Source organism: Homo sapiens, chromosome 17 (assembly GCF_000001405.40).
Source record: "Homo sapiens chromosome 17, GRCh38.p14 Primary Assembly".
Taxonomy (NCBI): Eukaryota; Metazoa; Chordata; class Mammalia; order Primates; family Hominidae; genus Homo; species Homo sapiens.
The window spans coordinates 72,118,513-72,136,092 of NC_000017.11; the positions used below are offsets into that span (position 1 = coordinate 72,118,513).

The 17,580-nt window shown below is 46.5% G+C and overlaps 1 protein-coding gene and 1 long non-coding RNA gene across 2 annotated transcripts in view, besides 15 other annotated features; one reads left to right on the forward strand and one right to left on the reverse strand.

Annotated features, from left to right (window-relative positions):
- The window catches only part of SOX9-AS1 (SOX9 antisense RNA 1), a 49,752-nt gene extending 47,471 nt beyond the window's left edge, over positions 1–2,281 (reverse strand). The window contains exon 1 of the long non-coding RNA NR_103737.1: positions 2,251–2,281. This is a non-coding gene — a long non-coding RNA (SOX9 antisense RNA 1). The remainder of the gene's footprint in view (positions 1–2,250) is intronic.
- Positions 1,171–1,671: an enhancer, noted in NCBI's record as "H3K4me1 hESC enhancer chr17:70115824-70116324 (GRCh37/hg19 assembly coordinates)". NCBI's record gives its function as "activates a minimal SCP1, AML or CMV promoter by ChIP-STARR-seq in naive H9 embryonic stem cells {active_cell/tissue: H9 hESC(naive)}" and the evidence as "EXISTENCE:reporter gene assay evidence [ECO:0000049][PMID:30033119]".
- Positions 1,773–2,540: a promoter, noted in NCBI's record as "-734 (XhoI) to +33 promoter fragment". NCBI's record gives the evidence for it as "EXISTENCE:reporter gene assay evidence [ECO:0000049][PMID:11606049]".
- Positions 1,773–4,179: a biological region, named in NCBI's record as "SOX9 promoter region". NCBI's record gives its function as "regulatory_interactions: LOC108004546 | LOC108004547 | LOC108004548 | LOC108004549 | LOC108004550 | LOC108021839 | LOC108021840 | SOX9 | SOX9CRE1".
- Positions 1,812–1,850: a protein binding site, noted in NCBI's record as "NF-Kb p65 site; blocked by cytosine methylation". NCBI's record gives its function as "positive regulation of transcription" and the evidence as "EXISTENCE:protein binding evidence [ECO:0000024][PMID:23592398]".
- Positions 2,154–2,483: a silencer, noted in NCBI's record as "silent region_8910". NCBI's record gives its function as "represses an Ori minimal core promoter by ATAC-STARR-seq in GM12878 lymphoblastoid cells {active_cell/tissue: GM12878}" and the evidence as "EXISTENCE:reporter gene assay evidence [ECO:0000049][PMID:35858748]".
- Positions 2,242–2,280: a protein binding site, noted in NCBI's record as "-289/-203 RelA response element". NCBI's record gives its function as "positive regulation of transcription" and the evidence as "EXISTENCE:protein binding evidence [ECO:0000024][PMID:19254740]".
- Positions 2,293–2,300: a protein binding site, noted in NCBI's record as "Sp1-1 site". NCBI's record gives its function as "positive regulation of transcription" and the evidence as "EXISTENCE:protein binding evidence [ECO:0000024][PMID:17289023]".
- Positions 2,332–2,340: a protein binding site, noted in NCBI's record as "Sp1-2 site". NCBI's record gives its function as "positive regulation of transcription" and the evidence as "EXISTENCE:protein binding evidence [ECO:0000024][PMID:17289023]".
- Positions 2,350–2,375: a protein binding site, noted in NCBI's record as "CREB probe". NCBI's record gives its function as "positive regulation of transcription" and the evidence as "EXISTENCE:protein binding evidence [ECO:0000024][PMID:17289023]".
- Positions 2,395–2,540: a promoter, noted in NCBI's record as "-113 to +33 promoter fragment". NCBI's record gives its function as "core promoter" and the evidence as "EXISTENCE:reporter gene assay evidence [ECO:0000049][PMID:11606049]".
- Positions 2,400–2,424: a protein binding site, noted in NCBI's record as "CBF-B CCAAT-1 site". NCBI's record gives its function as "positive regulation of transcription" and the evidence as "EXISTENCE:protein binding evidence [ECO:0000024][PMID:15908194]".
- Positions 2,435–2,458: a protein binding site, noted in NCBI's record as "CBF-B CCAAT-2 site". NCBI's record gives its function as "positive regulation of transcription" and the evidence as "EXISTENCE:protein binding evidence [ECO:0000024][PMID:15908194]".
- SOX9 (SRY-box transcription factor 9) lies at positions 2,508–7,904 on the forward strand. Its single transcript, NM_000346.4, has 3 exons — positions 2,508–3,310; positions 4,207–4,460; positions 5,031–7,904. The coding sequence occupies exons 1-3, from the start codon at positions 2,880–2,882 to the stop codon at positions 5,873–5,875; spliced, it is 1,530 nt and encodes a 509-aa protein (NP_000337.1). The 5' UTR covers positions 2,508–2,879; the 3' UTR covers positions 5,876–7,904.
- Positions 3,394–3,493: a silencer, noted in NCBI's record as "silent region_8911". NCBI's record gives its function as "represses an Ori minimal core promoter by ATAC-STARR-seq in GM12878 lymphoblastoid cells {active_cell/tissue: GM12878}" and the evidence as "EXISTENCE:reporter gene assay evidence [ECO:0000049][PMID:35858748]".
- Positions 4,150–4,179: an enhancer, noted in NCBI's record as "+1643 to +1672 fragment". NCBI's record gives its function as "enhancer in ATDC5 chondrogenic cell line" and the evidence as "EXISTENCE:reporter gene assay evidence [ECO:0000049][PMID:11606049]".
- Positions 4,683–5,206: an enhancer, noted in NCBI's record as "H3K27ac-H3K4me1 hESC enhancer chr17:70119336-70119859 (GRCh37/hg19 assembly coordinates)". NCBI's record gives its function as "activates a minimal SCP1, AML or CMV promoter by ChIP-STARR-seq in naive H9 embryonic stem cells {active_cell/tissue: H9 hESC(naive)}" and the evidence as "EXISTENCE:reporter gene assay evidence [ECO:0000049][PMID:30033119]".

Here is a 17,580-nt window from a genome sequence, read left to right on the forward strand (position 1 = left end):
CTGGCCTCAGTCCCCAAATTCTGCGCAGAATAGAACGGCTGGCATCTCAAGTGCTCTTTTTTCACCCGGATCTCTACAGACACAAGTTCCCTCACTGAGCTGCGCAGAGGTGGATCCGCACAGGAGGGAATATCGCGTAGGAATTCCTGCAAATATAAATCTCAGCAGCAAAGCAGTCCAGATTGACTGGAACACACCACCCCCAGCCACCACCATCCAAGTTTTCCCTGGTTCTCGGAGTTGGAAACAGTTTCTGGGCTTTTGGCGCCCCCTCTGGATACAGATGAAAACTGCAGTCCATTTTTAAGTCGCCTGTTCATAAGTTTTCAGGAAGATGTAAAATTCAAAAATGCTTGCATCAAATCAACGGGAAATGTATAAATCCCCGTCGTTTATGATGTAAAACTCTACATATTAGTATCTTATTGCATAATTGCATTAAAAGTATATTTATACATATACGTATATATCTTGACATATATTTAGTGAAATATTCCAAAATATCTTAAAGTCATAGCCCTCTTCACTGACTTTATTCCAGCAAACATGGTAATTACAATATCATACAACTAAGTACAGACGACCTGGCTAAAATGTCTGCCCGATGGTCTCCGAGTCTCCTGAATCAGGTGTCTGAGAATTACACAGTTATACTGTACACACAATGCCCTTCTACCCGGGACACAGAAATAGGTCCACACTACGCGGACTTTTTTCTCCTAGGAAAGGACGATGCTGTTCTTACACTTTCTGAAAGTAATCACAGAGCCCTGGATACGAAGCTATTGTATGCAAATCTCTTAAATTTGTAAACGAGCTATAGGGCACCAGAAACATCCCATTTGAAGAAGTTACATTCGTTAAAAAAAAAATGCTGTTGAACAAGGCTGTAACTTACTACCTTATGAAGAGTTCCATTTCCTATAAGAAATGTCGGGCTTCTTCCGAAGACAACGAGAGAAAACAAGATTTTAAGAAATTCTCCCGGAAGGACATTGATTTGGATCTTGTGATAGTGTCCTCACTTCGCAAATTAGAAAGGGAAAAAAAAACTAGTTTTTATTATGATGTGGGCCGATTCACCACAACAATAATTTAATTGAGGCGAATTTTTGCAAGAGCCCAAAAGGGTGGGGGGGGGGGGGGAGTTTAAAATTAAGAGTTTCCCAATGCTGTGCGTTTATTTGGGATTCTGAAAGCACAGAACCCGCAAGCGACCAAGACTTTTCTTCTATCCCAGAGCAGATAGCTCCGCACTTACCCAACCTGGCTCTAAGCATTTCGTGTAAACACAAAGGTTGTGCTCAAATCACACTTGAAATACATGAGAGACACCACCAATGCCTCCCCCAGAACTCCCAACTACATGCAGGTCTGAACCGACCGGACTAGAGTCAGAAGCACCGGCGCTTCACCCCTTCAGGTGTTTCGTAAATGCCAGCAAAAGCAGGCAAGCAGCATGACTCCGCCAGAGTGGAGCGTTTTGTCTGCGGTGGTGCCCATTTGTTTGGTCTTTTACAAACCAAGTGACCGGCCTGGGCCTCGCGGCCCGGGACAGCCGCATTGGCAAACTTCTATCTCTCAAAGCCAGAGCAGTTAGCAAACTCTCCCCCAGACAGGGCGACTCGGCTGACGTTTTTGACCCGGCCAGGAGGCAAAGACCAAAACGTCAGAGCAGTAGCCCTGTTACTGAGGAGCGTCGGCAGGGTCGCGGGTAGAGGGGGCTGGAGAATGACTTGTCAGAGCTCAAGGTCGATGTGGCGCGGGGCGGCCTCGAGAGCGCCGGGCTCCTGCGTGGCCACGGCCGCCGCTGCCAACCTTCGCGGGGACTTAGCTTTGCTTTCCATTGACTCCCTTTGCAAAAGCGCAGCAGAATCCTGACCAGCCGCACCAGCCCCGGCGAACCCGAGCATGTTAATCTATTTATATGGATTATTACGGAGGAACAGCGGGCGTTGAGTCACCAAAACATTTGCTTCAAAAGACTATTTCTAAGCACTTTTGCAGGCAGGCAGGCTCGCTCCAGGCGCGTAAACTCGGCTACGCATTAAGAAGCGGCTGCTTTTCGAATACTGCAAACTCCAGCTAAGTCCCCGGTGCCGCGGAGAGAGCAGTGAAAAGAAATGTCGGAGGTGGGGGTAGATCCTAGTCTAGACACACACACTTGCGCGCACACACACACACACACACACAAGATTCGCGCGGAGAAGGCACTAAAATTCTGGCATTCCGAGAGTACGACAAACTTACACACTTGGAAGTCCCGGGTCCCCCGCCTTCCCCGCAGCACCCCCCGCCCCCCCACCCTACCGTCCGCCCTTTGGCTGCGATCCCCTCCCCTCTCCTCCCCTCCCGCCTCGTCACCCAGCCCAGTGCCACAATCCTCCTCCCTCCCCAAAATCGGGTCCAATCAGCTGCCTGCCAACCCTGGGACTGCTGTGCTGTGATTGGCGGGTGGCTCTAAGGTGAGGCGGAGTATTTATTAAAGAGACCCTGGGCTGGGAGTTGGAGAGCCGAAAGCGGAGCTCGAAACTGACTGGAAACTTCAGTGGCGCGGAGACTCGCCAGTTTCAACCCCGGAAACTTTTCTTTGCAGGAGGAGAAGAGAAGGGGTGCAAGCGCCCCCACTTTTGCTCTTTTTCCTCCCCTCCTCCTCCTCTCCAATTCGCCTCCCCCCACTTGGAGCGGGCAGCTGTGAACTGGCCACCCCGCGCCTTCCTAAGTGCTCGCCGCGGTAGCCGGCCGACGCGCCAGCTTCCCCGGGAGCCGCTTGCTCCGCATCCGGGCAGCCGAGGGGAGAGGAGCCCGCGCCTCGAGTCCCCGAGCCGCCGCGGCTTCTCGCCTTTCCCGGCCACCAGCCCCCTGCCCCGGGCCCGCGTATGAATCTCCTGGACCCCTTCATGAAGATGACCGACGAGCAGGAGAAGGGCCTGTCCGGCGCCCCCAGCCCCACCATGTCCGAGGACTCCGCGGGCTCGCCCTGCCCGTCGGGCTCCGGCTCGGACACCGAGAACACGCGGCCCCAGGAGAACACGTTCCCCAAGGGCGAGCCCGATCTGAAGAAGGAGAGCGAGGAGGACAAGTTCCCCGTGTGCATCCGCGAGGCGGTCAGCCAGGTGCTCAAAGGCTACGACTGGACGCTGGTGCCCATGCCGGTGCGCGTCAACGGCTCCAGCAAGAACAAGCCGCACGTCAAGCGGCCCATGAACGCCTTCATGGTGTGGGCGCAGGCGGCGCGCAGGAAGCTCGCGGACCAGTACCCGCACTTGCACAACGCCGAGCTCAGCAAGACGCTGGGCAAGCTCTGGAGGTAGGACCCGGCGGGGGCGGCGCGGCAGGGTGGGCATCGCGGCGGCTGGGGGCGCTGGTCAGGGCTGATTTGCCCCGCCCCGCCTCCCATCGCCCGGGAGTTGCCGTTCCGGGAGCCGGCGGGATGGGGTTGGGAGTGGGAATGGGGTGTAACTGTGGCTCAGAGTTTGACAAAGTTCTTGGGCTGCTCGCGGGGACGCGGAGGAGGGGGGTGGTAAGTGGAAGAGGTGAGGGAGGTAGCTGGAGGATGGACGAAGACTGGTGGGAGACGGAAGGAGGGGGCTGCCAGCCTGCTCTCCAGTCGCCTGGAAGCTCAATCGGGGCGGGGAAGTGAAACTTGCCTCCCTCCTACCCGGCCTCTTAAAACTGCACTCTCTCGTGCAGCCCCACTGTCCACGGAGATGGGGCAAGGGAGAAACCGAGGTTGGAGGAGACCCTTGGCAGGAACTGGGAGGCGGGAGGAGGGAGGCTACTGGAAATAGGTGGGAGTGTATGGTGGGGGGTGAGAATTGGGGACCTTCTTGCAGCTTAAGTAATTTGGGGGAAAGTTTTCAAAGGGGGTTGGGGTTGGGGGCGGTAAGTCGAGCAGCAAAGGCGTTTAGGGGGCAGCACCGGGAGTCGTTTTCATCTCCAGCGTTTCCAAAATAGAAATAGAAGGGGAGGGGAGGGAGGGGGCGGGGAGTGACCGCTCAGGTCAGACTGCAATAACTTATTTATTTATTTATTTTTAAGAAAAGTTATGAGCTGTGGTTGCAGGCAGGAGGGAAGATGGAGTTGTGTGCAGAGGAAGCCGAGTGGTCTGGGTCGCCGCCTCCTCCCCGCCGACCTGACAGTTTGGCGGATTTCACTGACCCCTCTCCCTCTTTTTCTCTGTGCCCCCCGCCCCGCCCCGAGCAGACTTCTGAACGAGAGCGAGAAGCGGCCCTTCGTGGAGGAGGCGGAGCGGCTGCGCGTGCAGCACAAGAAGGACCACCCGGATTACAAGTACCAGCCGCGGCGGAGGAAGTCGGTGAAGAACGGGCAGGCGGAGGCAGAGGAGGCCACGGAGCAGACGCACATCTCCCCCAACGCCATCTTCAAGGCGCTGCAGGCCGACTCGCCACACTCCTCCTCCGGCATGAGCGAGGTGCACTCCCCCGGCGAGCACTCGGGTGAGTCGCCCCTCGACCCCACCGGACAAGCTATCTCCGTCCCGCCTGGCACACCCCCTGCCCTCCGCCTGGGAGATTCTTCGTGGGGACTTTATGCTTCCCGGGAGGGACACACTGCCCTTTGCGCCCGTCCCGCTCCCCTCTCTACCCAGAGCCTAAGAGGCATCCAAACAACACACACACAAACACACACACCCCAACTCAATCCCAGCATCCGAAGAGATTAACTTTTTTATTGGGAGGTAAAATGCCCTTAACAGCCTTACAAGACCTCTCCCTTCTTCTCTGCTCCCCCACCCCAAAAGCACACACAGGGCTCTTACACAAGTAGCAATTAGGTCTTCCGGACCCTCCGGGCCCCAGACCCTCCCCTGATAAAAGGGGGCTGTCCAGTGTGTACCGGCGGGTTAATCATTGGGCGACTTATCTCCGGTGCAGCGCGCCTCTTGCGCGGGTGCGGGCCCTTATTACACTTTAGCAGCGAGGGAGGGTCCCCGGAGGGTGCCTAAGACTAGGGCGTCTGCACAGCCCTTGTTGATTTTCTCGTGCTTGTTCTTTTATTGTCCACAGGGCAATCCCAGGGCCCACCGACCCCACCCACCACCCCCAAAACCGACGTGCAGCCGGGCAAGGCTGACCTGAAGCGAGAGGGGCGCCCCTTGCCAGAGGGGGGCAGACAGCCCCCTATCGACTTCCGCGACGTGGACATCGGCGAGCTGAGCAGCGACGTCATCTCCAACATCGAGACCTTCGATGTCAACGAGTTTGACCAGTACCTGCCGCCCAACGGCCACCCGGGGGTGCCGGCCACGCACGGCCAGGTCACCTACACGGGCAGCTACGGCATCAGCAGCACCGCGGCCACCCCGGCGAGCGCGGGCCACGTGTGGATGTCCAAGCAGCAGGCGCCGCCGCCACCCCCGCAGCAGCCCCCACAGGCCCCGCCGGCCCCGCAGGCGCCCCCGCAGCCGCAGGCGGCGCCCCCACAGCAGCCGGCGGCACCCCCGCAGCAGCCACAGGCGCACACGCTGACCACGCTGAGCAGCGAGCCGGGCCAGTCCCAGCGAACGCACATCAAGACGGAGCAGCTGAGCCCCAGCCACTACAGCGAGCAGCAGCAGCACTCGCCCCAACAGATCGCCTACAGCCCCTTCAACCTCCCACACTACAGCCCCTCCTACCCGCCCATCACCCGCTCACAGTACGACTACACCGACCACCAGAACTCCAGCTCCTACTACAGCCACGCGGCAGGCCAGGGCACCGGCCTCTACTCCACCTTCACCTACATGAACCCCGCTCAGCGCCCCATGTACACCCCCATCGCCGACACCTCTGGGGTCCCTTCCATCCCGCAGACCCACAGCCCCCAGCACTGGGAACAACCCGTCTACACACAGCTCACTCGACCTTGAGGAGGCCTCCCACGAAGGGCGAAGATGGCCGAGATGATCCTAAAAATAACCGAAGAAAGAGAGGACCAACCAGAATTCCCTTTGGACATTTGTGTTTTTTTGTTTTTTTATTTTGTTTTGTTTTTTCTTCTTCTTCTTCTTCCTTAAAGACATTTAAGCTAAAGGCAACTCGTACCCAAATTTCCAAGACACAAACATGACCTATCCAAGCGCATTACCCACTTGTGGCCAATCAGTGGCCAGGCCAACCTTGGCTAAATGGAGCAGCGAAATCAACGAGAAACTGGACTTTTTAAACCCTCTTCAGAGCAAGCGTGGAGGATGATGGAGAATCGTGTGATCAGTGTGCTAAATCTCTCTGCCTGTTTGGACTTTGTAATTATTTTTTTAGCAGTAATTAAAGAAAAAAGTCCTCTGTGAGGAATATTCTCTATTTTAAATATTTTTAGTATGTACTGTGTATGATTCATTACCATTTTGAGGGGATTTATACATATTTTTAGATAAAATTAAATGCTCTTATTTTTCCAACAGCTAAACTACTCTTAGTTGAACAGTGTGCCCTAGCTTTTCTTGCAACCAGAGTATTTTTGTACAGATTTGCTTTCTCTTACAAAAAGAAAAAAAAAATCCTGTTGTATTAACATTTAAAAACAGAATTGTGTTATGTGATCAGTTTTGGGGGTTAACTTTGCTTAATTCCTCAGGCTTTGCGATTTAAGGAGGAGCTGCCTTAAAAAAAAATAAAGGCCTTATTTTGCAATTATGGGAGTAAACAATAGTCTAGAGAAGCATTTGGTAAGCTTTATCATATATATATTTTTTAAAGAAGAGAAAAACACCTTGAGCCTTAAAACGGTGCTGCTGGGAAACATTTGCACTCTTTTAGTGCATTTCCTCCTGCCTTTGCTTGTTCACTGCAGTCTTAAGAAAGAGGTAAAAGGCAAGCAAAGGAGATGAAATCTGTTCTGGGAATGTTTCAGCAGCCAATAAGTGCCCGAGCACACTGCCCCCGGTTGCCTGCCTGGGCCCCATGTGGAAGGCAGATGCCTGCTCGCTCTGTCACCTGTGCCTCTCAGAACACCAGCAGTTAACCTTCAAGACATTCCACTTGCTAAAATTATTTATTTTGTAAGGAGAGGTTTTAATTAAAACAAAAAAAAATTCTTTTTTTTTTTTTTTTCCAATTTTACCTTCTTTAAAATAGGTTGTTGGAGCTTTCCTCAAAGGGTATGGTCATCTGTTGTTAAATTATGTTCTTAACTGTAACCAGTTTTTTTTTATTTATCTCTTTAATCTTTTTTTATTATTAAAAGCAAGTTTCTTTGTATTCCTCACCCTAGATTTGTATAAATGCCTTTTTGTCCATCCCTTTTTTCTTTGTTGTTTTTGTTGAAAACAAACTGGAAACTTGTTTCTTTTTTTGTATAAATGAGAGATTGCAAATGTAGTGTATCACTGAGTCATTTGCAGTGTTTTCTGCCACAGACCTTTGGGCTGCCTTATATTGTGTGTGTGTGTGGGTGTGTGTGTGTTTTGACACAAAAACAATGCAAGCATGTGTCATCCATATTTCTCTGCATCTTCTCTTGGAGTGAGGGAGGCTACCTGGAGGGGATCAGCCCACTGACAGACCTTAATCTTAATTACTGCTGTGGCTAGAGAGTTTGAGGATTGCTTTTTAAAAAAGACAGCAAACTTTTTTTTTTATTTAAAAAAAGATATATTAACAGTTTTAGAAGTCAGTAGAATAAAATCTTAAAGCACTCATAATATGGCATCCTTCAATTTCTGTATAAAAGCAGATCTTTTTAAAAAGATACTTCTGTAACTTAAGAAACCTGGCATTTAAATCATATTTTGTCTTTAGGTAAAAGCTTTGGTTTGTGTTCGTGTTTTGTTTGTTTCACTTGTTTCCCTCCCAGCCCCAAACCTTTTGTTCTCTCCGTGAAACTTACCTTTCCCTTTTTCTTTCTCTTTTTTTTTTTTGTATATTATTGTTTACAATAAATATACATTGCATTAAAAAGAAAGTGGCCCTGTGGATTTATTCACCCAGTTCTCCTGTTGGATGATTTGGCAAATTTGAGCACAAAAGACATTGTGGAGTGCTGATTGCTGTGATGTTTTTGTTTTTTATCAGCACCTTTGGCAATCCTAGAAAACAAGCTGAGGAAAAGACTGTATCTCCAAAAATCTAGGCAGAAAAATCTTGAAAAGTGCCACTCCAATAGATCACACAGAAAATTACATGTCAGTAGTTGCTCACTCTGGCAAAAATGTTTGTTGTGGTTTTCATGACCTCATGCTTCAGGGCAAAAGCTGTCCCTTGTGGAGGTCACAGGGAATATTAGACCTGAAATCAGGAGCTTGTCAGTAGACAGAATGCCAGAGGGGTGACTTGCTTATCTGGTTTTAATATGGCAAACTTTCCGTTCCTATGAACACATACCCAAGAAATGGAGTATCCACTTAAAAAGCAAAGGAAGCCAGAGAAAATCAGTGTCTACAGGGAACCAGAGAGAAGCCTGTCGTATTAACCCATTAAATGATTCAGAGCCTTCCAGATTTCTCTGTAGAGACAATGAAAGGGGATGATTTTTCTGCTCCCTCCAGTTTAACTCATTCTAAGCAGACGCAAAGCCATTGTAGAAGAAACAAGACCTAATCCTGTTTTCCTTGGCCCCAGTTAGATGGGGAGTTTCCAGGTTCAGAGAAACGTTCAGGTCATTTTTCATTAAATAGATGAAATCACTCCTTCCCTCACATGGGCACACCTCCCCATCCCCACTCCCACACCCCAGATGATTGGAGAAGTGTCTCTAAAGAGTCAGTCACCTTCACCCTCTCAGGCTAGTTTTACTACTGGGCCTGTGTCTCTGGCAGTCTTAACCAGAGTCCAACCTCTCTGGCATTACCTCACATTGTCTGTTTCTGCTTATTGGATTCCTGGCTGACATCCCACACCAGGAACATGGCAACCAGGAAAATGGTAGTTATCAAATCGAGGCAACATTAGTACTCGGCCTCCTTTGCAAATTCCTTCGACAAACATTGATTGAGGGCCTGTGATCTGCGGGGGACTGTGCAAATCCTTCCCTACCCCTTCAGACATCAAATTCTGTTCCTTGTTTGTGACATAGCCTTCCATGCGCTGAGGCCCTCCCTTCTTACAAAATCTCTATTTTTTTTTTCTCTTGCCAACACTCACAAAGTCCTTTTTAAAAGTCTCTGTGGTGTTCACTAATTCTTGCCTACCTTATTCGTTCTAATCCCTTTGTCTATTAAAATCAACACACACCATTCCACTGCGACTACCCCCTTCCCTAGCAAATCTGTATGTTTGCTAGACTGTTCTCCCTTCCAGAAATATGCTCTTTTTCCCAGTATGTGGCCTTTGCCAGGACTTCTTGAAGCCAAAATATTCTGTTCGGACATAAACTTGTGAAGGGAACTGAAGCAAGTTGTTTTGCTTTCCCGTGCCTCACTTTCCCCTTTTGCTGAGTATGTTTATAATTCCTCCTACATAGAGCAGGGTTGTTAATAGAGGAGATTTTAGCCAGAGCAATCTGGGAGTTGACTGCATTGGAGTCTCCTGGTCTGTACAGCAGTCCCCCTGCATTAGAATTCCTGGGAGTAATAGCCAGGAAAAAGAGTTTCATAAGCTCCCCAAGTGGCTCTGATACACAGTAAAATGCAAGAGACACAGGAGTGCTGGGAGAGAATTCCTCAGAATCCCGCTCACCCCCATATCTATCAGATCTAGTCAAAGCCCAATATCACCAGATTATAAAATATTTTGGAGGAATTTTTAGTCTAACACCAGAAGCACAGAGCTTATCACCCTGGCAACAGCAACACATTGACTGGAAACCTAGGAGAGTCCTCCACACCGGAAAGAGTTTGTATGTAGATCCAGGGTTATTTGTTTGTTTGCACTTAAAATAAAACCTTTTCTTTTCTAACCATTTTAACAAAACTGAAATTTTTAGCAAAAGGGAATAAAAATAAACTCATTTAAGAATCGGTCTTTTGCTCTATTATTAAATTAGAGCCATGGGGATTCACTGGAGCTGTTTGACTTTCCCACTTCAGCTCCATCCCATCCCTTTCCTTCCCTGATTTCCAAAATGAACGTTTGTGAGGCAGCATGGTGGCACGTTTATATTAAAGTAATCGATGAACTATCACTACAGCCAGAGATGGATTTACTATGAAGCAAACAAAGCTCAAGCTTCAGCACCTCTCAAAAGCACAGGCTCCTTTTAAGGCTCTGGACTTATTCTTGAATTTTTAAAATTTAAATTCTTTTTCTTAAAGAACTTCGCCTCAAAAAAAAAAAAAAAAAAACCATAAACTTCATGCCACACAAAAGCTGGATCTGCCCCTGATCACACCTATTGGCCAGTAAACTGAAGCATTAGAGGCTGCCATAGAAGATAGCAGAATACATTTCTTTCTGTTCTCAACAGTGCCTGAAACATAGTAGGTGCTAAACAAATATCTACCTTCCATCGTATCCATGAACGTGACGGTATTGCCAAAGAACACACTGGAATCTCTGCAATAACACTCTACCACTTGTCCTTACACAGTTTCTCATCCCTCTGAGAGTCAAATGAATTTTTGCTTCTCAAATGACATTCACTTACGGGCATAAGACAGGTTTCTTGCACACAAGAAATGCAATGACCTGCCCTCCTATTCTTTCCCTTTCCTCTTCCTGCTCATTCCTTTTTTTCTTTTCTTTGCCATCTCTCCTCTGCATTTTCTCAGTCTCCCCTTGACTCTGACAGCTGAAAACTTTGCTGGGCCCTGATTGAGCTTTTCCTCTTTTATCAAGCACAGACTAGAACTATTTTACTCCGAATTTCTGGAGAATCGTTCTTTTTTGACCAGATACAACATGGGCCAGGTAATCTCAGAAAACAACCAGGCTAAATTTGGGGCAATAGTTCCTTGAAGCTATTGTTAGACATGTCCCTTGAGCATTCAGGATTTTATATGGAGGTTCATCTGATCACCATTATTTCCCACTGTCATATTCCACTCTAGAATTATTCCCACTCCTCATTCTTGCCATAAATATTTGATTAGGACGCAACCATGAACAAGAAAGACTGCCTCATGGAGCTTACATTTTCATGAAGAGGAGGCGGGCGCAAATAAATAGTACTTCCTGGTCTTTCCTTGTTTGCATGCCATAGGGGAAAAAATGCAACTCATTAGAGCCAACTGGGAGAACAGGCACAGGGAAGGAGGAGTTGATGGATTTGGAAATGGTTTTGGTGAGAACATGCTGAGTTCATTTTTCCTCTCCTGATCTTCATCTCTTTTTCAGTGATATAAAATTGACTCCATTTACATAAAGGGAACCCACTCTATTTTTACCTTAGCCACTCCCTCCTGCCCCTCTGCCCCACCCCCCAGTAACCCTCTATTAGTCTCTCTACCTCTTAATGAACCATGGATTCATGGATCTCACAATCCTCTTTATAGCAGAGATCCCAAGAGAAAAATCCAGTCCCTAGTATCCAAAGGGCCTTTTGATCTCTACAGATTTGGTTAATGTACCCTGCAGATATGAGGAAGGAATCAGAAATGAGGAAGGTATAAAGAAAGGTCTTTTAATTTATTTGTGTTTGCATTGCAAAAATCTCTTATACATTATCTCAGCTATTGAATACTCCTCCATTGCCTCCAGAATACCTGCATGGATTGAGAGCTCACATCCACCATGGAGATCTTTAATTGTGGAAAAATCTTACCTCTGCAGTTTCCACGCGATGGTCCAAGGTGGCCCACCTCCACAGCAGAACAGTGTGTCTTATCTTTCTTCCAAGTGACAGCCTTTCAACTATGTGTGCAGTTTTAAAGTTTTCTTTTACTCTTCCCAATCTAAACACTTCCAATACATTTTACATGTGATAGGGTTCCAAAACCCTTTTATATTTGACAGTCTTCTTTGAATGTACTTCACTTACTAGTATTCTCAAATGAGTGCACTCAGATTTTTTTCCAGGACTCCAAATACTTGGCTAACACGGAAGACAAATAGACTCATCATTCTTGTCATCAGAAATCATATTTCTATTAATTTACATTAAAATCATATTAGCTCTTGTAGCAGCCAAGTCACCCAGTTATGTTACGTTAAGTAATTTCTTACCTATCCTGTAATTGTGCAATTGATTTTTCAACCCAAGTTTTACATATCCTCCTGTTTTGACTGGCGTATGACTTATACAGGCCCAACGGAAGAAAAAAAAATGGCAAAGGGATTTGCATTATTGAGCCCTTACTTTCGCAGTCACTGTGACAGATGTTTTATATACATGATCTCACGTAATCTATTTAACAACCCTTTGAGACAGGTATTCTTATTACAGCTTTATGAAGAAGGAAACTGAGGCTGAGAGATTAAGCAATTGACCTAAGGTTATGTGACTGGTAAATGGCATAGGCAACTACCAGAGGCTCCCCCCATCCTCTCAGTTTTCAAAAGAAAATTAGAAATAGAGTTCATAACGGGAAAGAAATAATAAATGGAGAAAGACAATTCTTATGTGGTAAATTATGCTACAGGAACCTCTTCAAAGCAAAATCTGACCATATGACCCCCTGTTCAAAACCTCTCAATGGCTACCTATCCTTGGAATAAAATCCAAATTCCTTACCATAGGATTCAACTGCCTTACTCCAGGAGTTGGTAAACCGCAGCCCACGTACCAAATCTGGCCCACCTCCTATTGTTGCAGATAAAGTTTTATTGGAACAAAGTCATGCTCATTAGTACAGATTGTCTATGTGCTTTTCTGTTCCATGGCAGACTTGAGTAGTTGAAACAGAGACAGGAGCCAACAAAGCCCAAAATATTTACTAGCTGGCCCCATTACAGAAAGATTTGCTGACTGCTGCCCCACACAAGGTAGCCCTTGCCTAATTCTATGACTTCATCTGTTGCCACTACTCTCCTTATTCCCAATGCCCCACCCCTCAGCCTTCTTTCTCATTCTCAATCTCTCAAACTCTTTGCTATTTCAGGGCCTTTGCACTTCCTACTTTCGTGACTTAAACAACCTTTCATCAGAGTTTCCCTGTTATTTCTTTTTCATCTTTCAGATATCAGCTGAAATGGGCCAAAGGGCCATTTGGTCCAAGGGACCTTCCCTGCCCATCCTGGATACAGTAGTCCACACTGCCGTCACCTCAATCCTCACTAACCCATTATTCCATTTTTGTAACACCATCACTTCCTGAAATAATCTTTGTCATTTACGTGTTTGTCTCCTCCAGCTAAGGCTTTGAACGTCGTCTTGTTCTCAATTTATCTCCATTACCTGGGAAAGTGTTTGACACATAACAGGAGCTCGGTAAGCACTTATTGATGAATTCATTGGTGTATTAAGTTGCTGTATTCTCCCAGATCCTGAGATGGGAATCAAGTATTAGGGGTTAGAAGGCAAAAAAAAAAAAAAAAAAAAATCAATTACTCCTTAATTAAATTATCAATTAAATGAACATTTGATTAATGTTCACTATACGCCAGGTAGCAGTTGGGCTTCAAAACTAATAAGATAAGGAGCTCACAAAAAGAAGGGTGAAGATAAAGACATTAAACAGACAAGATTGTTGAGCGTTGAGTTAGAGATGTATATAAAGAATGCAGAGGAGAGGGAGGAGGGGGAAATTGTCCAGCTAAGGAAAGACACTAAGGCACAGAGGAGGGACTGTGCAAGAACATGGAAATATTCAACAGGCTGGTGCTTTGGGGCAATTGTAAGTTGGTTCACTGTGACTAGTATTCGATATGGGTAGATAAATAGCAGAAAATTAGTTAAGAGATAAGCAGAATCATAGTGAACTTTAGAAGGATTTGAACCAGGAAATGGCAGGAGTTGTTGTGTGTTTCAAAAAAGAGGACATTAGCTGGGTGCGGTGGCTTGCGCTTGTAATCCCAGCTACTCAGGAGGCTGAGGCGGGACGATCCCTTGAGCCCAGGAGTTCGAGGCCAGCCTGGGCAACATAGCAAGACCCTATTTCAAAAAATATATATACAAATTTAAAAGTGGACATTGTTCCCCCTGCTCCAACCCAGACTTTTGACTTTGCTGTCAAAATCTAGGAAACCAGGTCATTAAGGAGACCACTTAGGAGTCTCTAGTTTAGTCCATCACAGAAGAGATAAAGCCTGAGCCAAGGCCAAGGCAGTGGGAATAAGAATGGAGAGGATGGGATGGCTAAGAGAGGACTCAATGGCTAGAAGTGATGGGGGTTGAGAACTGGTGATATGTAGACTACTCAGAAGGTGACATCAAGGCTAATTTCTATGCCCTACCTTCAGTGGCAGAGGAAGAGATGGTGTCATTTGAACAAATCGTGGAATATAGGAATGTAGTTGGACATGCTTAGTAGTCAGTTGGAAATACATGTAACCTATGTGGATTGTGATCAAAATGCAACTTTCTACTTGCCTTCATTGACTCTTTGGATTTTATTGAGAAGCTGGATCTTCCCTTGGCCCTGAGTGTTCACTGGAAGTAGGAGAGGGGGTGGGACAGGAGGGAGGCATGAATTTTCCTATCATTCTCAGAATGATAGGGAAAAAAAAAACTTCTATGCTTACTTTTTTTCTATTATTATTATTATTATTATTATTATTATTATTATTGAGATGGAGTCTTGCTCTGTCACCCAGGCTGAAGTGCAATGGCGTGATCTCGGCTCACTGCAACCTCTGCCTCCTGGGTTCAAGCGATTCTCCTGCCTCAGCCTCCTGAGTAGCTGGGATTATAGGTGCCCACCACCACGCCCGGCTAATTTTTGTATTTTTAATAGAGACGGGGTTTCACCATGTTAGTCAGGCTGGTCTCAAACTCCTGACCTCAGGTGATCTGCCCACCTTGGCCTCCCAAAGTGTTGGGATTACAGATGTGAGCCACCACACCTGGCCGCTTATGTTTTGTTTAAGTCTCATTTTAGTAAACTGAAATGTCCCTCCAGGAAATGTCTAAATTGGCTTAATAGCAAATCTTCCCTCCTCCTCAACTCACAAATGCTCCAGGATGAAAACCCACTCTGGGGAAGAGGGTGATTGTACACCTCTCTGTATGTTCCCTGTTTTCCTCTCTCCCACTAGTTGGCTGCTTTTTCCTGTCTGCCCAACAGAGTCAAAGAGGATGAGGCTAACCGGGGAGGAGAAGAAAGAGAAAGGGGTATTTATATGGATGGTGCCAAATTCTCCAGTCCTAGTAGATGGTTAAGGCTGGTATTCCTGGTGGGCCAGGCACCTGAGCAGCGCTGCACTATTTCCCCTTGGGCACTTTCACGAACTGCTCATTCATGCGGCTGTCTTGACCCAGGCAGATACATCACTATTAGACAGGTAGTTTCACTGCCTTTCCCACCACAGAGCATGCTCAGAACACCTCCAGCCTCTTTCTGTGGAGGTCTCCTCACCTTTGCAGGCCACTCTGCTAAAAAAGACCCACGATGATGCCACGTTTGCTCTCTCTTTTTGATAGGGACCCACATTTGGTCAATGGAAACATATCCCTCCCTCACCCAAGAAAAGTCAACACTTCTCACAGCTTACCGTAGATAACTAGATTCTCAAGGCAAGCATGAGTTCTCCATGCTTCTGAACTGCAAGAACTCTTTTCAAAGCTTTGCAAGTGACCTATTTTAAAGCCCCATTTACTCAACCTGGGATAATAGATAATACACCATACCTCCCCAGTGAAGGGAGGATGAGTATCCATTGATGAAAAAACTCTTCAAAAAGCATCTTTACAGATTTCCTTTCCCCTCTTGGACTCCTGTCCTGCTTTATTGTGGGTTGTTTTTTGTTTGTTTTTTGTTTTTTTAAAAAACTTTACATGCAGTGAAATGCATAGGTCTTAATTGTGCAACTTGATGATTTTTGATATATGCGTACATTTGAGCAACTACCACACCAGTCAAATTAGAGAACAAACTAATCACCCAAGAACGTTTGCTCATTCCCTCTTTCAGTCCATCTTCATTTCCATAGACAACCACTGGTCTGATCTCTATCACCCTAGATTAGAACCTGTTCTTGAACTTGATATGAAAGAAACTATACAATAGGTACCCATTTGTATCTGGCGTGTTTTGCTTAAAATAATTTTTGAGATTTCTCAATGTCATTGCATGTATCAGTAGTTTATTCTTTTCTCTTCCTAACTAGTACTCCATTGCATGAACTTACAAGAATGTGTTTATCCATTTTCCTGCTGGCAGACATTTGCACTCTTTCTAGTTTGGGGCTATTGTGAATAAAGCTGATATAAATCTCTCCTGGACCTAGAAATGTGATTGCTGAGTCATAGAATAGATAAACATTCAACCTTACGAAAAATTGCCAAAGCATTTTCCAAAGTGCTTAAATCATTTTACACTCCCACAAGCAGGGAATGAGAGTTACAGTTCCTCTACATCAACACTCCCATCTGTTGTCAGTTTTCGTATTTGCGACACCCACTTTTGTGGGTGTAAAATGGTATCTCGTGCTTTCACTTTACATTTCCAACACTCTTCTTCCTCATTGCCCTATCCAGTTCCCTTGCACACTGTTTGGCCTTACAGAATTCGAGAGACATCAGATCTGATGACCCTGATACTCTTTTGGAACCCAGATGTTTATTTCCTTTCTTTAGATAGGAGGAGTTCAGATATCCGTTTTTCTTTTGACTTTTCATTTTTGCACCTGCCTCAGCACTGTATGAATCTAGCTAGACCCATGTGGGGACGTGCCAAGCTCTGTGAAGAAGCTGATTATGCTGGTCCTCTAGGTCCAGCTGGTGACAAATAAGGCTGGGAATTCAGGAGTGTCTAATGTGAGACTTTCAGGCTCACTTACAGGCAGCTTGGGAGGTGGAAGAAATCAAGGGATAAGGGGGGAAAGTCAAAGCCCAAATAAACATCTGGCCTTCTAGGTGGCACTTATGCAAATTGGTCTAATTCCTGGAACTGTGAGGAGCTGACCCACCTCTATGCAAATAAAGGACCTTTAGAAAGACAATGTTTGTGGGACTTCTGCACTTTATAGCTTAAAGCCCCTGGAAAGGGTAAGATTTGCTCCTATTCTGAATGTCCTACATCTCTGTAAATTTAGAAAAGAGACACTTCTCTTCAAGGGTTTCCCAAAGCAGAACTAGAAGGAGTCTGGGTCCTCATTTTCCCTCTTGGTTGAAGCCCCTGGGTCTCAGAATCATCATGTGTGTGTCCTTCCCAGTCAACAGATCTGCCTCCCTCCAGAGCCAATTTTGAAAGTCCCTGAAATTTCTGAAGTCCTCACTGAACATGAGCACACATCTGACCTCTCAGTGGATTTCATCACCCAGCTGGCCCCTATGTGAACCCCTGCCTCCATGGAGAATTCTTGAAATCTATCCCATTCTCCACCTACAGCTGTTTTCTGGGATTTAAGGGGGAAAAAAAATGACATGGCATATTTAATTCTCCCCAATGCCCCTGCCCCTTGAGCCCCTATTCCCACCAAGACTCCTTTCCCTCCAATGTTCACCTGTGTTATCTGATCATTTTGATTCTACCATAGTGCAAGTAGGCAACTATGAGAACCAAGCTTGCACCTCATGCTAGACAACAAAATTAAGACGGCAGGAACACAACCTGAGCCAACAGCATAACAGACATCAGCCATGCATAGTAGTCAATCAATA